We start from the raw sequence: 20,258 nt of genomic DNA, 5'->3' as shown, positions 1-20,258 counted from the left end.
CCATGAAGCTCACATAGACAAGAGTTTGTCTGCAGAAGAGAATAAAATTGACTCTGGAGAGAAGTGGAGATGAGAGATGGAGAAAATGAAAGCTTTCTGTTGGTGTTTGAGTCCCTTGGGCACAGTCATCCCTCGGACAGTCTCACCCTTTCTAGTTTAGATCTGTGAACTACAATCCTTTCCATCTCTTTTCTTAAGTCAGTGGACTTGGATTTCCGTTACTTACTACCAAAGGGTTCTGTCTGGCCCTGAGCATAGGTGATCTTGAAAGTGCAAAGATGATCATGTAAGAGAGATCCTAACAGTGACAATGGCTGAGAGGAAGATGAAAAAGGTGAAGGCAACATCAGTGATGGAGGTGGTTGTGGGATGGGATGGTGTTGCTGCTAACAGAAGTGATGGTAATCATGGTTTAGATTAAATGGTGGCATTGATGGATGACATTGGTGATGATGTCACATTGGTGGTGTGATTGGTAGTGAGGATCATGAAGATGCCAAGGCTTTGCCAGCCTAGAAACACAGGCCCAAACGACCCAAGAAAGGACCACCTAGAAAGAGAGAACAAATTCTTCCAAGATGGCAGGTGCTGGTTCTTTTTTAAGCTGGGTAACTCCTAGCTAAACCTGGACCTGGAGGGGTAGAAGGACCACAGGTGGTATCCCATAGAGCTTCAGAATTATATTGAAACCTTCCGGAACAGAGAGACCTGGGGTCCCTAACCCCATCAGGTCCTTTTGAGAATTCCAAGTGCCTCTAGTCAAGAGGAGTAGCCAGGTTCAAACAACAGGCAAGATGAACTTGGGTGTAGGGGTTGCATTTTTGGTCAGTGGGAGAACAATCATAAAAAAGCACTGTGTCTTATGTCTGACCATTTACACTTCAGCTGTGTATATCTGTGAATATTTGTTCACCGTGGTCTACTTGGTGAAAATGAGTCACTTCTGGAGAATAATAATAACTAATTTTTGTTAAGCGTTACTATGGACTGTTCTAAGTGCTTTACTATACACATCATCTCGCAAGATGAAATCTGCACGAGAGTAGGTATTTCTATTTCCCCATTTAACAGATGAGAAAAACCAGGTACAGAGAGGTTAGGTAACTCACCTAAGGTTACACTGTTAGGAAGGGAGGGTGGGAAGCGAAGTGGCCTGGGCCCTGGATCCCACCTCCAAGTCACCACAGTTATGGGAAACTGCCTCCGCCACCCCCACAGCAAGGCTTTTGATCCAACCCCTTGCTCAGGGGCCTCCTCTTTTATACCCTGCTACCCAAAAGAGCATTTTCCATAGGAAAGCTTGCGGCCAAGAGGGAGGAAGAAAACTTCTGTGCATCCCACCAAAGAAGCTAGGGGGTGGACTGGTCCTAGCATCCCTCATGTGGAGAGAAGAAAGGCCCCCTGCCTCTTCCTTGGGGTACAGTCTGTCCTCCCACACAGTGGGCTCCTGCTGACAGTAGTGACCACAGAGGTCCAAGATTCTGCCACAATAGAAGACTATAGTTATGACTTTGCAGTCAGTCAAGCCTGTGCGTAATTCTTGCTTTACCAGCCTGGACTGGTAACTACTTCTCTGAGACTGGATTTTCTCACCTGTAAAATAGAGACAATGAAAGCTATTTCCTTGGGCTATCATAGAATACTTTGCACAGTATTCAATTTGCAAAGCTCCTAGCCCAGTGCCTGGTGCAGGGTAAGTGCCTGATAAATGTCAGTCACTCTTATTGTAGTAATATTTTAATTATCTGGAATTCAGCTCTCCTCTTCGTCATTCTCCTTCACATCCACGAGCAAGATTTCTGTTCTGCTTAAAGGAAAGAGGCCTAGGAGGGAAGAATCAAATGGCAAAAGAAACCCAGACCCAGCTTTCACAGTAGGAGGGTCAGTATTGGCCCTTGAGCTTTCTCCCTCCCCCAGAAGTTATATATCCCTGTGGCTGGATTTTTAAAAATAAACACATGCCATTTCCACAATGGAAAGTTTTCTTTAAAAAAAAAAAAAAGAAAGAAAGTAAAACATTCCCCTGTTGTCTCCCTTGGCCAAAGAGAATTACAAAAGATAAATTAAGCCTTTTACACAGACGCACCAAGTTCCAGCTCTGGGGTTCCACCCTGTCACAGTTCTGGCTTTGTTGGAGGCTCCTGCAGCCCCTGGAGCCCCCTTCTCCACTGCCCGTGGGAGACCCATGGGGGATCCACTGTGGGAATATTGTCTTCTGTTAGAGGAGGGGTGTCCTAACTCCCCAATTTTAGGGCTTTTCTTCTCAGTGGTGCCCCCTTCAGGCAACCAGAGCAACTGCACTTGCTAACCCTGTCCATTTTCATAGCGCCCAACAGATTGCGCATAGACCCCACAGCCTTCCCCACACAGAGGCCCCAGTCAGGAGAAAATACTTGTCTAAGATCAACCAGTAAGTAAATGGCAGAACCAGGACGAGAGGGAGGGTCCCATTTTCTGGCCTAGGAACTTTCTTCCATATCTGCCACCCTCTTCCCCATTGAAGAACACGCTCAGAAAAGCTGACATCAACTTGGTGGTCTGGGGTGTGATGAGGAAAGCTCTGAACTTGCAGTCAGAAGCTCTGTCTGCTTGCTGTTTGCCCTCTGTGTTAACTCCACGGTTCTGAGTGTCTCAAGTCTCATTGGCAAAATGGGAATAATGAGGTCTACCTCATGGGGTTGTTGGGAGCCTGAATGGCCTAGGAAGTAGGAAGGACTCCATACATAGTTTCAAATTCAAATGCACAAAGTCATCATTGTGTTTCATGGAAGGATGTGTTTTGGTGTCTTTTAATTACATGATTAATTTACTTGGCTTTTTGGAATTTTCCAGTTTTTTTTTCTCAATGAGCATACATTGTTTCTTTAATAATAGAAAGTTCTTTTAATTTTAAATAAAGTATAAACAAGCCCGGCGCGGTGGTTTGCACCGGTAATCCCAGCACTTTGGGAGGCCAAGGCAGGTGGATCGCCTGAGGTTGGGAGTTTGAGACCAGCCTGGCCAGAATGGTGAAACCCCATCTCTATTAAAAATACAAAAGTTAGCTGGGTGTGGTGGCAGATGCCTGTTATCTCAGCTACTTGGGAAACTGAGGCAGGAGAATCGCTTGAACCAGGGAGGCGGAGGTTGCAGTGAGCCGAGGTCACACCACTGCACTTCAGCCTGGGCAACAGAGCGAGACTCCGTCTCAAAAACAAAAAACAAAACAAAAAAACCCCAAAAAACATAAACAAGAGGGTCTGTGCTTCTCAACTCCTTCTTTAGCACTATTCCCGTCAGTGCAGGAAAAGAAGTGATTGGGATCCAGTCTCTCATATCGGGCCGCACAGACACCACCTGCCTCACCTGGTGCCATGGCTTGGACTCTTGAGGAGGCGGACTCTGGGACAGAGATTTGCATGCAGGGGATATACTGGGGAACATGGGAAGGCCTGGGCAGAGGATGAAGTTTAATTGTAGTGCGGTAGCAAGAGAGGTCTCAGCCAACCCTGAGGGGAGCTTGTAGCTGGGATGCCCTTCAGAGTTGGCCTGGATTGAGCTCAACTCTGGCTCTCTGTGTAAACACTGGCTGTCTGTGTCTATACCCCAGCATGAGTCCTAAGGTGCAGGCTACCCCAGGGGGGAGCGTGGTCTTGTGTGCAGCTGATCCCTTTAGCTATGTGTGAGCCATCAGCAGCTGTCACCCTACCGCAGAGGGACTCTGGGTGGTACATTCCAGCACCCACTATACCGAGATTCAAGCTGGCCCTGCAGGAGGCAGCAGGAGCAGAAGCTGACTCTTGACGAAAAGGCCCCAGTCCCTGCCCGAGCTCTGACCCATGTGCACACACCTGACTTCTTGCTGTCACATAGGTGGCCACAGAAACCAGGAAACTTAGAAACGAGGCATTTCACCAGCTGCATCTAAGCTCTTCCCTTCCCCACTTTCCCCATCAGAGCCCAGACACTTCATCCACAGGGCACCTGGGGAGGCAGGCACACAGCTACCCACCTGAGGAAATCTAACCCTCTTGCCACAGGACCTTAAAAGAGATGTATGTTGAGCATCTTCTCAAATGCTCAGGAGCACTGCATCTCTACAGGAAAGTCTGCCTCTCCACACCTCTGGCTCCTTCCAGGAACTCTGTGGGGAGTAGCCCTCCACCTTCTATCTGTCACACCTGGGGCAGGCATCTCTCTATACAGCCATTTTCATGGGCTGCCTAGACTTGGAAGTAGCTCACAAGTATTTTGAGTGAATCAGTTAGAATGTTTTGGATTACAAGTAATAGAAAGCCTGACCCAAACTAGTTGCTGAATTGGATTTTTTGTTTTATTTTGTTTTTAGCAATGGGGTCTCACTGTGTTGCCCAGGCTTGACAAACTCCTAGGTTCAAGTGATTCTCCCACATCACTCTCTCAAGTATCTGGAACTATATGCCTGTACCTCCTAGGACTTCAGCCTGGCTTGCTGAATTTGACCCTGGGAGGTATAGCCTGGAGCTGCTGACAGCCATCTTACCCCAACTTGAAAATGAAGACAACAGGAAGAGAGTAGGGCTGAGAAATGGACCAAGACTGCTCCCTAGTGACAATTTGAAATCCTGGAACAAGCTGCACCTGAAGCTAGAGCTATGTTGGGCTTTTTAGGAGTATGGTCTAATGAATTCTCTTTTGGCTCAAGCCTGATGAGTTGGGTTTTCAGTCACTGGCAACCCCAAGAGTCCTAACAATAGGGTGGGCAGTCGACTTACCTCCACCCCCACCTTGCCTGACCTAAAAACTCCTGATGTGTTTTGTGTGAGGCTCGGACTTTCAACGAGAAAGCTGTTTCCCTGCCAAATGCTTCTGCTTGGGGGTGCTGAAACATGGGGCCTGTTAAGAAGGAAAAACCAGTTGTCCATAATGGGTCAAAGTCATACTGTCAGGCAATCTCTTCCTCCTAGGTAGGAACATGGTCATTACCATGAAATGCTGGAGAAGGAGGTGCTCCAAAGGGAGGCAGAAGAGAACGGCAGGCAAGGTCCCCCCTTATGAAGGCATCAGCGGGGAGCTATGTATGGGTCATTCCCTGGGGAAACTGGCCTGGCTGTTGGGAATGTTTCCCAGGAGAATGCACAGCTCTGCTGCACATTCCCACTCAGGCCCTTCCTCAAATGGCTAAATAAACCGAAGGGCTTTGCTACGTATTTTTCATTCCACATACTATTTGCTCTGCCTGCCTGCCCCAGACAGCCAAGTTTAACCCAACAGAGACGTTCTTCTTACAGAATTCAAATGTATCCCGTAACTCGAGGCACCACATGTCAACTGTCACACTGTGTAGCTTTGTGCCCAATTCAGCAGATATTTCTGAACATCTTCAGCCAGGCCCAGGTTTGGTCAGGCCCTCTGTGAGCAATGATGTGAGTTAGATGCAGCTCCTGTTTCTCAAGGAGCTCAGAGTTGGGGGAAGTAGGATGTGAAAGAAACGAACTGTTACACAAGGTGGAGAGAAGTAAGGGCAAGTGAGAATTGGGGTGGGAGCCCTGTGTTTTCAGAATCTCGGGGAAAGGGGTGTGTGGGGAGGTAGGGCTGACAGGATTCACGGTGAGGGGTGGCTTGGGGCTTACCCTTCGAGGGTGAGAGTTTCACTCTGGGGAGAGGGTGGAAGACTTCTGGGCTGAGAGGCAGTGGGAGCTGAGACGCAGAATGATCCAAAGCCACATGTTCATCCCTTCTTCCATCTTCCTCTGGCCATGTTTCCACCACTGGGTTTCTGCCTCTCAAACTCAAAGGGGATTGTGAAAACATCATACTCAAGGGGCGAAGGGTTGAAACTGAGCCTTCATGGGTCACATTATGGCCCTTCTCCCTAATTAAGTTCTTGTGTTTTTGGTTAGGGTTCTTCTTTCTTTGAGCCAATCTGACAAGCTCAAAGCGAAGCCAAGAATTACATACCTTTATAGTAGCATGATTTATAATCCTTTGGGTATATACCCAGTAATGGGATCGCTGGGTAAAATGGTATTTCTAGTTCTAGATCCTTGAGGAATCGCCACACTGTCTTCCACAGTGGTTGAACTAGTTTACATTTCCAATGACAGTGTAAAAGTGTTCCTATTTCTCCACATCCTCTCCAGCATCTGTTGTTTCCTGACTTTTTAATGATCGCCATTCTAACTGGGGTGAGATGGTATCTCATTGTGGTTTTGATTTGCATTTCTCTGATTGCCAGTGATGATGAGCATTTTTTCATGTGTCTCTTGGCTGCATAAATGTCTTCTTTTGAGAAGTGTCTCTTCATATCCTTTGCCCACTTTTTGATGGGATTGTTTGATTTTTTCTTGTAAATTTGTTTAAGTTCTTTGTAGATTCTGGATATTAGCCATTTGTCAGATGGGTAGACTGCAAAAATTTTCTCCCATTCTGTAGGTTGCCTGTTCCCTCTGATGGTAGTTTCTTTTGCTGCGCAGAAGCTCTTTGGTTTAAGTAGACCCAATTAGTCTATTTTGGCTTTTGTTGCCATTGCTTTTGGTGTTTTAGTCATGAAGTCCTTGCCCATGCCTATGTCCTGAATGGTATTGCCTAGGTTTTCTTCTGGGGTTTTTATGGTTTTAGGTCTAACATTTAAGTCTTTAATCCATCTTGAATTAATTTTTGTATAGGGTATAAGGAAGGGATCAGTTTCAGCTTTCTACATATGGCTAGCCAGTTTTCCCAACACCATTTATTAAATAGGGAATCCTTTCCCCATTGCTTGCTTTTGTGGGGTAGATTGCATTGTTGTAGATGTGTGGTATTATTTCTGAGGGCTCTGTTCTGTTCCGTTGGTCTATATCTCTGTTTTGATACCAGTACCATGCTGTTTTGGTTACTGTAGCCTTGTAGTATAGTTTGAAGTCAAGTAGCGTGATGCCTCCAGCTTTGCTCTTTTGGCTTAGGATTATGGCAATGCTAGCAAACCTGCTAGCAAATATTACAGCTACCAAGTCTACCTGTCACAAATTGGCCACGTTGGATGACATTAGGCACAAGTTGTGATCATTACCATCTCCACATTGTATGTGGTTAGGTTTTGAGCACAAAGGATTTGAGAAGAGGGGAGAAATAAACCTGTTTCCAAAAGAGGTGATGATGGTGGGGACATAGGAGCATGGGCTAAGTGAAGGTATGGTCTAAAAAGGAGAGAGGTCGGTGAAGAGATGAAGCAGATATAGGAACTCTATATAAGAACATAGAAGCTGAATATTGTATTGAAGCTCTGCTGTGTGACCTGGGACCACCACCCAACTTCTCTGTTCTTTATTTAGGAGGGATAAAAACATTGGAAGCTCTGATAGTGGGTGATGATGAATTAGTGATCAAATACTGCATAAGAAATCCCCCAAAACTTTGTGATTTAAAACAAAAATAATCATTCATGATCTTTCACAATTTCTATGCATCAGAAATTATTTGTGACTTGGCTGAAGTTCTAGCTTGGGTCTCATGTGAGGCTGCAGTCAGAGGTCAGTCCAGGCTATACTTATCTAAAGGCTTGACTGGGGCTTGAGGATCCACTTCTAAGGTGGCTCAATGGTGTTTCGTGGCAGGACTCAGTTCCTCTCCATGTGGACTCCAAGGCTTCTTGAGTATCCCCAACACATGGCTGCTGTCTATCCCCAATGCTAGGTATCCAAGAGACCAAGGTGGAGGCTGCAATGTCTTTTATGGTCTGCCCTTGGATGCCACACAATCTCATTTCTGCTGCGTTCCATTGGTCACACAAGTCAGTCCTGATTTAATGTGGGAGGGGACTACCAAAGGCATGAATATCAGAATATGAAGATCACTGGAGGCTAACTACTGTAGTGCTCCCTCTAGCTGCAATGATGCAAGACCCTCCCACGTGCAAAATATACTCACCCCTTCCTAAGCTCCTCAAAAGTCTCATCCCATTATGGCATCAACTCAAAGTCCACAATCTCATCTTCTACAGCAAGTCCAGGTGTGGATAAAGCTGCTCAGGGGCAGGTGGCAGGCTGCCACCATGGTAAAAACATAATCACTGTCAATATGGAGTCTCTCTTCTTTTCCGTAGTGGCATCTAACTTCCTGGAGGCTCAAGGGGCGTCCAGGCACCTAGTCTTCAATGTCATTTGTGATGCCCATCACTGTGCCTGTCCTTGTTCATTGGTCCCTGCAGGTTGTCCGTTTGCAGGGCCCTTGCTGATCTGCTCTTCTTGTCCAGTCCCATGCTGCTCTTACGAGCAATGAGGTCATTCTGTTTTCCAGGTCCATGCTAGTGTTTGGGAAAGCTCTGCCAGGCTGACTAGGACTTTGCTGCTGGAACAGTCCATGAAGCTATTTCTCTTGCCTGGGGTCTTGCCACCTCCCAGTGCTCTCTGGATAATGGGACCCAGGTCTCGTCTCCTCTCAGGTCCTCCAGTTCTCTCTGGTACCCTCTTCTGGAAACCACCATTATCTATACTCTTGTGACTCCTGACCTCTCTCAACTTTCCACTCCACCCCCAAGATGGGAGCCCCTTTACAAATCTGAGAGATGGAAGCATTGCCTTGCTCATGTTTTCTTCCAAATTTTGCTGGTATGGGGATTTTCTTCTGCCTCACTGGCCCAAGACTTTTCAACTCAAAGTCAAGAGACTCCTTGCTCTGCTTTCTGGGGTCACACCTCTTCTCTGAGACAATGAGCACAGGACAGAATTTGGGTGATGGTGAGAAGGAAAGGGGCAAAGTGTGAAAAGGAGAAATGCCAGAGGGATAAAACATTGGTTAATATTTCCAAACACTAACCTCTGTCAAGGTTTCCCCTGAAACTCAGACAAGACCTGTGAAAGTAATGCTGCTAGTCACAGACAGATCCAAAATGAGAATCTGGAGCCTCTTTCTGCACGCTCAAATACAGTCTTTGATCACCTATTTGACTTATGCTTAGGAATGGGTCTGGGCACAGAAATGTATTTGAGCACATGGTCTGGGATGAACCCCTCATTTGGGTAGGCTGTCGACAGCAAAGATGCCAAGGGAACCTGACATCTGGACAGAGAATGATGAGAAGACCTGCAAGACCACCAGTCTGATCAAACCATCCTGGGAGAGGAAGAATTTCAAATAAGTTTCCATCAATTACACATGAACATTGGGTGGCTGCGAATTGCCAGGCAAGCACTTTGGGGAGCTCGGAGGAAGGCAGGTGAGCCAGGTCATGGCTGAATCTTGAGGACCAATATTGGCCTGGAGGAAATCTTGGGGAGAAGGCAGATCTGGTGAGGGGTCAGGAAATCTTATGAGATAAGGGAGGGTGGGAACAACGGAACATTTATTCTAGGGGAGAGACTAAGATCTCTGAAGGGCTTCCAGGTAGTACTTGCTCTAGGATTCCCTGTAGGACCTTAGGGAATCAGAGAGTGAGACTTCACTATTGAAGGAAAAGCTTAAGGATTTGAAAATGTTTGGAAATGGAAAGACTTCCTTAAAGGTAGCGAGTTCACTGTCAGTGGGATGATGACGCAGAGGATGGATGAACTATTGATGGTGAGACAGACCCTTGGATGGAATATCGCATGAGAACTCAGAGGTCTCTGCCTTGCTAAGATGTCATGATTCTTCACATCCACTGAGTTCTGATACCTCCCACCTCATTCATTTCCATTCCACTAACCCATATCTTGTGGTAACTCACGTGCTGTCTGAAGACATCACTGATGGTGAAAAATGAGTTTGCTGAGAGATAGAAAGTATATATGAGATCACAAGGGAAGGGCTCGCCCTGCTGATGAGAACAGACTGTTTCTGAACCTTCCTTCATGTGTAAGCAATCACCACGGTAATTGACATCATTGTTCACTCTCAACTCACTACAACCTTGCCTCCTCCTCTTTCCAAGAAAGTTGAGGTCATCAGATATGAATTCTCAATTCCCAGGCATCCTCACCATCAAGTCTTGCCCTAGCCAGACTCACCCTGCCTCCCTCCCTGCAGCCTCAGAGGATGAGGTGTCTCTCTGTTCAAAGCCAACCAGCCCACCTGTGTCTTTGACCTCCAATTCTCCTGCCTCCTCCAACAGGCTACCTCATCAGTCATCCTTCCCTCTCCTGGATCTTCCAGGACTGGACTCTCCCAGTCCACTGGCTGCTTCCCCTCTGCCTAAAAATATACTCGAGCTCTCACATCCAAAAAATGAAATCTTCCCCTGTCTTCCTCTAGCTTTTATCCAAATATCCCTTCTCCCCGTCTCATCCAGCCCTCTTAAAAAAGTATGGTTGACCCTTGAACTATGTGGTGCTTAGGAGTGCTTACCTACTGTGCAGTAAAAAATATGCATATAAGTTTGACTCCCCCTAAATTTAACTACTAATAGGTTACTGTTGCCTAGAAGCTCCATCTAAAACATAAATGGTTGATGAACACATATTTTTGTATGTTATATTTATTATATACTGTATCTTTATAATAAAGTAAGCTAGAGAGAAGAAAATGTTAAGAAAATCATAAAGATGAGAAAACATATTTATTATTCATTAAGTGGAAGAGGATCATCATAAAGGTCTTCATCCTCATTGTCTTCACTTTGAGTAGGCTGAGGAGGAGGAAGAGGAGGAGGAGGAGGAAGGAAAAGCATGGGTCTTGCTGTCTGAGGGGTGGCAGAGGTGGAAGAAAATCTGCTTATAAGTGGACCCACGCAGTTCAAACCCATGTTCTTCAAGGGTTGCCTGTAGTCTACACCTGCAGTTCTCCACTTGCCCAGCATTTACTCAAACCTCAGTCCACAGCAAACTGGTCAACTGGAGTTGCTCATAACTGCTCTGAATGTAATGACCCTGATTGACAAATCCAATGAGTATTTCTCAATGCTTAGCTTCTGGTTCTCACTTTTAATTTTAAAAAGTATTGAATGCTTCTCTTCTGGAACTCTCCTCTCTGTGGTCTTTGATAACAGGCTCTTTAGGCTCACCTGAGGTCTCTTGCTGTCTTCCCTGTCTCCTTCAAGGGCTCTGTGGTAGCCAGTTTCCAAGATGGTCACCAAAGACGCCCACCTTCTGGAGTTCACCTTGCATAGCCACCTCCCCCATTGTACCAGTTGGACAATGTGACCAATAGAATCTGACTGAAGTAATGGTATGTCATGTCCAAGATTAGCTTATAAAAGACAGTGTGGTTTCCATTTGGTCTTTCTCTCATTCTGTCTCATGGATCACTTACTCTGGGAGAAGCCAGCTGCCGTACATTGAGGACACTCAGGCTTTCAAGTGTCTCGAGAGGCCCACTTGGCACGGAACTGAGTCTTCCAGCCAATAGCCAGTGACGAATGAAGGACTCCAACTAGCAGCCATATGAGTGAGCCCTCTTGGAAGTGGAGCCTCCCCCAGTTGAGATGACTGCAGCGCTGCCCATCAGCTTGACTGCAGCCTCACAAGAGAGCTTGAGTCAGAACCATCCAGCTAAGCTGTGCCCAGATTCCTAAACCTCAGAAATGGTGACAAAATAAATGCTTATTGCTTTAAACTACTAACGTTTTGGGGCAACTTGTTACTAGGAACTAGTAAGACTGCCTTTTCTATACGTGAAGTTCCATGAATGTTGGTGAAATACTGTCATACGATCTAATTTCCGCCAATGGGACCTGAGGAGTAGCCTGCCAGGTGTTATTGATTTTTGTGTTTTTGTTGTTGTTGTTGTTGCTGTCAATAAGTTTACAGTCTTTATCTGAAAATTTCTCATACAAAATTGGGTTAGCTCTCAGCAGCCCGCTCTTGAGCTCTGAAAAAGCTTGCCTTCTTTTGAGCTACCTGATCTTTATTCTGAACAAGGGACATTTTGGGGCAGTACCACCTCTTCTTTTTAACTTCTTTCTTGGGCTTCTTCTCCCAGGCTGGATTCTCTTATATAGCAGCATGAGCTTTCTTATACATCTCTTCCATCATGTCTGGGGTTACGCCGTTCTTTATGTATTGACAGAACTATTCCTTTTGAGCATCTTCATCTTCCTCCATTAAGTAGCAAGAGTAATCTGCAACATTCTGGCCCATGATATGCTTCTGGTGTACTTCTGCATTAAATTCCTTGCTTTCAGAATCATAACTAGGGAGGCATTTGGTACTGTGAGGGATAGACAAGCCTCCATCCACACCTCCCTTCAGTGCCCCCAAAACTTTATTGCGGTTCTAGCAAGGCCTGCATCCAAATAGCAGGTAAAGGCACCTGGCTGACCATCAATGCCTTCCACATTGTATTCATCTCCAGTCACCGCCACTTGGTGTTCACAGATCTTTTCCATGCCAAACTTATTGAGAAGCCTGTGGGCCAGCAGCAGGACAGTACAATACATTGCAGCATCATTTGTCAGGCCAAACTTCATGCCATATTTTGGCAGTTCATGTGCATATGCTGTGCAGACTATCATATCCCCTTCTAGATGGGAGTAAGCAATCTGACAAATGATATCTCTATTTGTTACACAAACTATCATCCTGTATTTGGCTGTGTCATGTTTATTTTTATCCTGTATCACCAGTGTTTCTGAGCATAATAATCAGTTTTACCCTATCATCTTCTTCTAAATTTCACTTGGTACCTCTTAAAGTAGGACTTATTCTTAACAACTTTAACAAACTCTATCCTGTGGGACAGAGGCTCGACAGAGACCTGCAGGCCCAGCAGCACTCCTGGGTGTTTTGAGAAAGGTTTCTCTCTGATAAAAAGAGGGAGATGAGTGAAAGACTCTCCTTCTGCCTTCCAGCTTTTAAGTGTCATCATGCAGGCGTGATTTTTGGAGCTACACAATTTGCCATTCTGGAAAGTACATTTTCCCCCCATTATCCTCCTGGGATAAGGTAAGCATGGAAAATATGCCCTTCTTGGGGGCTGAGTAGTTTTCTCAAACTGTAGAATTTTGCAAGCCCAAGAGTTAAACCTTGAACAACGGTTTAAGTCTAAGCGCCTGATTTTTGCGGGGAGGGGAAAGGTGCAATATAACTAACTTTAAAATGTAACAGTCTTCTTATCTATTTGATTCTGGAAAATTCCATATACCAGTAGCCTCATCCATAGTTTTAATTTTAAACATACATTTAAAATTTTCTGAACCTCTCTCTTGTCCACATTGACCTCCAGTTTCTTTCTTTCTTTCTTTTTTTTTTTTTTTTTTGAGACAGTCTCGCTCTGTTGCCCAGGCTAGAGAGCAGTGGTGCAATCTTGGCACACTGCAAGCTCCGCCTCCCGGGTTCACGCCATTCTCCTGCCTCAGCCTCCCAAGTAGCTGGGACTACAGGTGCCTGCCACCACGCCCGGCTAATTTTTGTATTTTTTAGTAGAGATGGGGTTTCACTGTGTTAGCCAGGATGGTCTCGATCTCCTGACCTCGTGATCCACCCGCCTCGGCCTCCCAAAGTGCTGGGAACTCTACTTTCTTTAAGCCAGTAAGTTTTGGCATACTTTATTGTAAGTAACTTAAACCTATCAGACTTAGGTGTGAGCACATTTCCTCCAGTCTCTTTGCCTGAGTCAGCATGTCTAATAAAAAAGATTCATCTCTTAGTCCATTCGCAATTTTCAATAATGGATATGACAATGATATCATCAATTTGATCCTTGCCACCAGGCTAAGATTTTTCTCTGGCTGCATTTCAAGTTTTTTGCTTCATCATTTGTTTTTAGCATTTTTACTTGATGTGCCTTGGTGTAGTTTTCTTTGTGTTTATCCTGACTGAAATTCATTGAGTGTCTTGGATCTATGGGTTTATAGTTTTCATCAAATTTGGAAAATGTTTGGCCATTATTTTTTCAAAGATATAGTTTTTTGAGAGAGGGTCTTCCTCTGTTGCCCAAGCTGGAGTGCAGTGGCACGATATTGGCTCACTGCCACCTCCGCCTCCTAGGTTCAAGCAATTCTCCTGCCTCAGCCTCCTGAGTAGCTGGGATTACAGGCGCCCACCACAACGCCTGGATAAGTTTTGTATTTTTAGTAGAGACGGGGTTTTGCCATGTTGGCCAGGCTGGTCTCGAACTCCTGACTTCAGGCCTGCCTCGGCCCACCTCGGCCTCCCAAAGTGCTGGGATTACAGGTGTAAGCCACCACACCCAGCCTGTTATCTTTCTTTAAAGAGTGTTGAGTTTTATTCCAGCAACTTATTTGAAGATTGGCTTGGTCCTTTCAAGACTTGTCTTTAAACTTAAGATGGGTCTAGGATAGCCTTCACTCTAGGATGGAGGCTTGTTAGTTTAGCTCTACTCCTACGGTGCAGCCTTTCTGAGTTTTCCACTAAATATTCTGAGGGCTCAATGAGGTCTCTCCACTCTGGTTGGCCCGAACTTGAACATCTCCCAACTCTGAGCACAGAATATTGTTCAGCTTACAACTCCCAAATAAGTACTCTTTCTCCAATATTTGTTCTTTGTCCAACCTCATGGAATCTCATCCTACTCATGCACACCTAATTTTTAGCCAAAGACTCAAAGTGCCTCCTATGCAGTTTCTGAAGCTCTTTCTCTGCATATGTCTCTTCAGTATTCTGCTCCACAAATTCCAGCTGCACAGCTCTTGGAATTGTGATCTCTGACCCCTCAAAACAGTGAGGCTTCTGTGCTCTGCTCTCCTTCCTCGTCCTAGACCCATGGTCTGCTAAATGCCTCTGGCCAAAAAGTCAGGTTGATCACGGAGTTCATCTTATTTGTTCACTTTCTCTCAGGGAACACAGTCCCATTCTGAGGGTTAGTCAGTGTCTGAAAACAGCTGTTTCATATATTTTATCCAGTGTTCTACTTGTTTATGGTGGGTGACGGCTAGGCCCAGTATCTGTTATTCCATCATTGTCCACAGCAGAAGTCCACACAGGATAAGTTTAAATCAGCCTTAGGGTTAGGAAGCAGTTGCCTCTTCCAACCCCACAAGCACTAACTAGTGGACATTTAATTCCCTTTTCAATTCTGCTTCTTAACAGGCCAATTATTTTCTGAGCCTATTCCTTTCTTGTATCCTACTAAACACAGCCAAAGACAGGCATTTCATCTGTGAACAAATTGTTTCCTAATCTCTTCCCCTGGGGCTACCCATCCTTTGGGTATGTCATCTGCCTTCTATGTTATCACAAGGCATATGCTTACGGATGAACTGAGGTGGCAGAGCTGAAATAGGTAAAGATTTGGGTCCCCAATATCATATTGAGATGACGAAGAAGCTACTTCCAAATGGATTAAGCACCTACTTCCAAATGTATTCAAATGAAATAAATAAATAAATGATCTTATTGTTTGAGCAACTTTTGAGTGTGTTCTGTTCCTCACAACCTACATCACCTTGATGAACGCATAGGTGGGCCCCTCCCCTTCTGTGCTTCCTAAAGCTCATGCCCCTCAGGTCTTAACTCCAGCCTGCATCTTCCTCCATAGGGGTGAGTCCAGATATTCACCTGCTGGCTGGTCATTGCCACTGGAAGTCCCACCCGCAGCTTCCTCCAACCCCACATCCAAAATGGATCCTAGTTTTCCCCTCCTAAACTTCCTTCACCCAGAATACTTCATCTCAGTCAAGGGTAGCACCTTCCACTCATGCTGTAAGTCTGGCTTTCATCCTAAGATTCTCCCTCTTTCTTCTGTCCTTGTATCTGAAAACCACCAAGACCTACTATTTTAGCTCCCTAAGTGTTTCTCAAATACATCCCCTTCTCTCCATTCCCCCAACCACTTCTCTAGGACAGTCTCCTGACATTTCTCTCCTACTCCCAGCTGATCCCCCAGCTTCCATGCATCCTTCATACCACTTCTGCACCAGCACCTTTTCTAAAACACAAAATTATCTATATCTCTCCCCTGCTTGGAACCTTTCACGTTTACATGATGAAGTCCAAACTCTTACCAAGGCTTACAGGCCTCCAGGGTCTGGCTTCTGCTGACCGCTCCAGACCCAACATTTGCCACTACCCGTCTTCACGTTACATCCCATCAACTCCAATTTGGGAGTGTTTTCTTGGTTAATCCCACTTTTCCTCCCCTTTGGGCCTTTCTGCATGTTATGACTCTTGCACAGGTTATCTCTCAGCCGGCTCCATCCTACCGGCCCCGCTTTTCTCCTGTAAGTATCTATTATTCCTCCAAAAGCATGAGCTCCCATTTTCCTCCTCCTAGAAGCCTTCCCTGGTGACCCCACCCTCCAACCTTGTTCAGTTCTCCTCTTCTGTGTTCTGGTAATACTCCATGCACAGGGCTCTTGCTGTAGTGACCACTCTGCTTGATACTCATGGGAATGTGTCTATCTCCCTCTCAGACTGAGCTCCTTAAGGGCAGACACTGAGACTGACTTAACCTTGTACCCCAGCCTCTGGCCATTGGTGGCTGCCCAGTAAAATGTTGAATGACTGAATGAATCCGCAATCAATCTCTTCCAGCAGGTCCCCTACAAACCATTGCTGTGGAGTGCCTCGTGGTTAGTTCACTCGAGTAAGTGGATTAACTTAAAAATAATAAAAACTGTGTTTCGGTAAAATCATTTTTCCACCAGCCCTTTCCTTCAATTAGTACCATCAGGGAAGGGAGTGTATTTGTGGTGAGGTTTCCATAGCACTTCTCTCAGAAGGGGGATTATATTTCCAGAAGCAGAAACCATGGCTTTAGGAGGAAAAAATGTGGAAAGAGCATGACATGGACCTGAGAATTTGCTGAAACATGTGTCCAGGCCATGACCATCAGCAGGGACCAGAACCACACAGGGGGGTGACTGTGGATGTGGGTGGCATGGTTGGTATCTGATAGGCCCTTCTCCTCTAGTTGCCATACTTATCAAAATGTCACCATTAGAGGGCACTCCTTTTAACCACCCATCACCCTTTCCTGTGGAACTCTTGCAAGCCAAATTTCCTGTGGAAGGAAGTCCCTCTCTCCTTCCAGGGATTGCGTTCTACTGCCTGGAAAGCATCCACCTCCCCCTCTGTCTACCCCAGTTTTTCCTGTTCTTTCAAATGTAGGTGAAATCCCTTCCCGCCCATGAAGCCTCCCTGGAGCTCTCTTTTAAGATGGTGGGTATCTCGGAAGCAGAAACCACATCTCATTCAACACTGGCTCCGGGTGCTCTCACAGAGCCTGGCCTGAGGTAGGTGTTGAACAAATAACCCGAAGGAGCTCCATGCGCCGCCGATTCTCTGTCCTCACATTCCGATGCTTCCATTAATGCTGGTGATCACTTATGCCTTGTGAAGGTCTTTGGTTGCTCTAAGGAGACATTTCCTCTGATGTGGCTTTTTGATGCTTCCTGAACATAGGCTAGGTTTCCCATCTGGGTAGAGGACTCTGAGCAGGCAAGGGCCATGCCTTAGCCTTCTTGGACTGCCCCTGTAGGTGGGGGACTGGGAGGCCCCTTGGAGACAGATGTTTCCCAGCTTGAATCAGATGGTGAGGAGAAAACTTCTAGCATATGGCATGTGGGACCCCATTTGTATGCTTATCCTAGACCCCACCGGTGATGGGGCAGACGTCCTCCTATGTACCTTGGGGGTAGGTGATGGGATTTTCATCAGCCATCAGCTCAGCAAAGCCCAGTGGCCTGGGGGGTTGTTTCTCTCTGGACTGATGATCAGTTCATAAGGGACTCAAGCAAAGTCATGGGTCAATCATTGTTGGCCTGCACCAGAGTGATGGGAATTCCCTGTTTTTAGGTTGTCAGGTGTGTCTCAGGGCCCATGTGGCTCCTGGACCCCCAAACATTATTTCTCAGTGAAGCCTCCTGCCAAGTCAGCTCACTTGACTCTTCTTGGGCAACCTTCCCAAAATTGGGTTCCAAACTTTCCCCAACCTCTGATCTTAGACTCTGGGGAAATCCCTCCCTATTTTAAACCCTCTCTTCACTTCTATCACCTGACAACCTTCCCAGACATTGAAAAACTCATTTCTTTTGCTTGATGATAAGGAGGGCCTAATACTCAACTCTGGAAGACTCAAATGAGGAAGTGAGGGGACATATTTGTATTACATCTCTTCCAGTGTAACAAAGAAATAAAAAAGGAAAGGAAAATCTGACTTCCATATCAAAGAGGCTGAATCATTTTCATGCAGTAGATTGGATGACCGGCACCGATCTTCACTGGCCCCGCCAGCCAGGCCTTGCCACGGCATCGTCATGGTGGAGCCTGTGTCTCTGCTTCTTGACTCTGGGCAGAAGTGAAAATTTACTGGCTCCTTGGGAAGCTTCCTGTGTGCCTGCTTTCCTCTTCTGCTTTTATAGCTGCCATGAGAGGAGCATGTCCTAGCTACTTCCTTGTCCTGGGAGGATGAGAGACACAGTGTCTCTGGGAGCAGAACGTCCCCAGCTGACCCAGAGACCTGCAACAAGAAGCAGCCTAGGGCCTAGCCCCTTGGCCAAGCCCAGCCTGGATTAGTTGAGCCACAGCCAGCCTCCTTGAGAATAACTGATTTTTGTGTTAAGCCACTGAGTTTGGGATCATTTGTTATGCAGCATTATTGAGGCACTAGCTAGCTGATATACCTATCCTGCCAGAAGACCAGGGTAAAGCAGTTAGTAGGTACACAGCGTGGGTTGAGGGCTTAGTATTTGGTTATCAGTTGAGGCTTCCTGGCAGGCGTCATTAAAGAATACTAGAGTATTGGCCCTGGAGGAGCCTCTAAATGAATTTTGGCTGCAGAGACAATCCCAGAGTTGAGCTTTGACTTGTCCTAGGCCACATGGGGGATTTGTGCAGAGCCTACACTAGCACTCAGGGCTAGTGGCTCCTCAAGACAGTAAGCTGACTCTCCACTTCCTATGGACCAGGCTGATGATAACCATGTCTCCCTCTGCTTCCTCCTTGGCCATATGTGTGAGTTTCATGTCATCAAGCTGGAATTTTGACAAATATGAGGTGGTGGCAAGGGAGAAGGAGCAGGAAAAAGGTTTGGCCAGAGACAAGACTCCAGGTGCAAGAAGGGATGTTTTGTCTGTACCCACATTTCCCTTGGGTGCCAAATGCCCCGTGATGGGACCCCCAGCCCAGAGCCCAGGCTTCAGGCCAGCTTCCGCAGTCTCATCTTGGGAGGGAAGCTTGTGCTCAGGTGCCAGAGGCACAATGACTGCCTCACCTGTCACCATTAATGTCTGGCTTCCTTTCATCTCCCAGAAGCCTAGCACAGACAGCCATGGGGATGGACCAGAGGTAGGCTGGGAGAGGTGGGGACTAGAGCTCCAGGAAGGGAGCTGCTGCTCCTTGATGTTTGTGCCTTGCTGATGTCACTCCTGGCTTCAGGGCCTGGAGAGACACCTTTGCACACTCCAGACTTCCTTGGCTCAGAGTGGAATCAGCTTCTGAGGCTCTTACCAGGGGAAGAGGGGGCACAGCCCACCAATCTCCCCACTGTGCTGGGAGCTGGAGAAGAAGGGGGGCCTGGGATATGGATTTAAGGGGTTCTTTGAGTCCACTCTACCAACTCTGGGCAAAAGAGAGTGAAAAAGGCACCAACTGGGGAGTCAGCAGACTGGGATTTTGACCCTAATGTTGCATTTTATTAGCAACTCATGTGACCTTTGGCAGGCAGCTTCCCATATCTGGGCGTCAGTCTTCCATTTTGTAGAATGGCCATAATGGAATAACTGCTCTGGAGGGTGCCTTCAGGCCTGATATCCAGTGATGGCATTGGGGCCGGAATATTTCCTCTATTCCGATGGGAAAATAATAGCTCCTATTTATCCAGCCCTCAATATGTGCCAGGTACTGAACTAAGCCCTTGCACATATTAGCTCTGTTCAGGCTCACAGCAATTCTATGAGGGAAGTATTCTTATTGTCCTCATTTTACAGATGAGGAGACTAAGACTCAGCAAGGCTCAGTAACTCACTTATGGCCACACAGCCTGATGAGAAGCCATGGTTTCAGACAAGGCTGTCTGACTCCACAGCCTGCCCTCCTAACCTCTCTGTTGTGCTCTAGTGAGAAAGCTCTTTCTCTGGTCTCTTCCTTCCAAGATCCCATGCTCCTTCCAAGACCCCCCCCCTCCCTGTGCACTTCCACAGTCAAAAAAACCTCCAGGCTTTAGGCTGGAAGAACTCAAGATGTCTGAAAGAAATCCCTTCAACAATGGAGATAAATGCAATCTAACCCATCATCCTTTCTATACTGGCCTCCCCCATGAGGCCAGTCCCGCCCCAGTGCATGATGCTAGGAGAGATGGAAGGTGGTCCCTGCCATCAGGATGATATGCTGATAGCCTGGCTGGGAACCTAAGACTGACCCTGGGCAGTCTGGTTCCTCACCCAGCTTTGGACCTGGGGGGCCCACTACAGTGCCTGACATGCAGTAGGTGCCCAGTGAGTGCTTGTT

The 20,258-nt window shown here is 46.5% G+C and overlaps 1 pseudogene; it reads right to left on the bottom strand.

Annotated features, from left to right (window-relative positions):
• Positions 11,639-12,645, bottom strand: RPL5P26 (ribosomal protein L5 pseudogene 26; annotated as a pseudogene).

This window comes from Homo sapiens, chromosome 10 (genome assembly GCF_000001405.40).
Source record: "Homo sapiens chromosome 10, GRCh38.p14 Primary Assembly".
In the NCBI taxonomy this organism is placed as follows: Eukaryota; Metazoa; Chordata; class Mammalia; order Primates; family Hominidae; genus Homo; species Homo sapiens.
The sequence above is the reverse complement of the archived record's forward strand: the minus strand, read 5'-3'. Positions and strand labels throughout refer to the sequence as shown.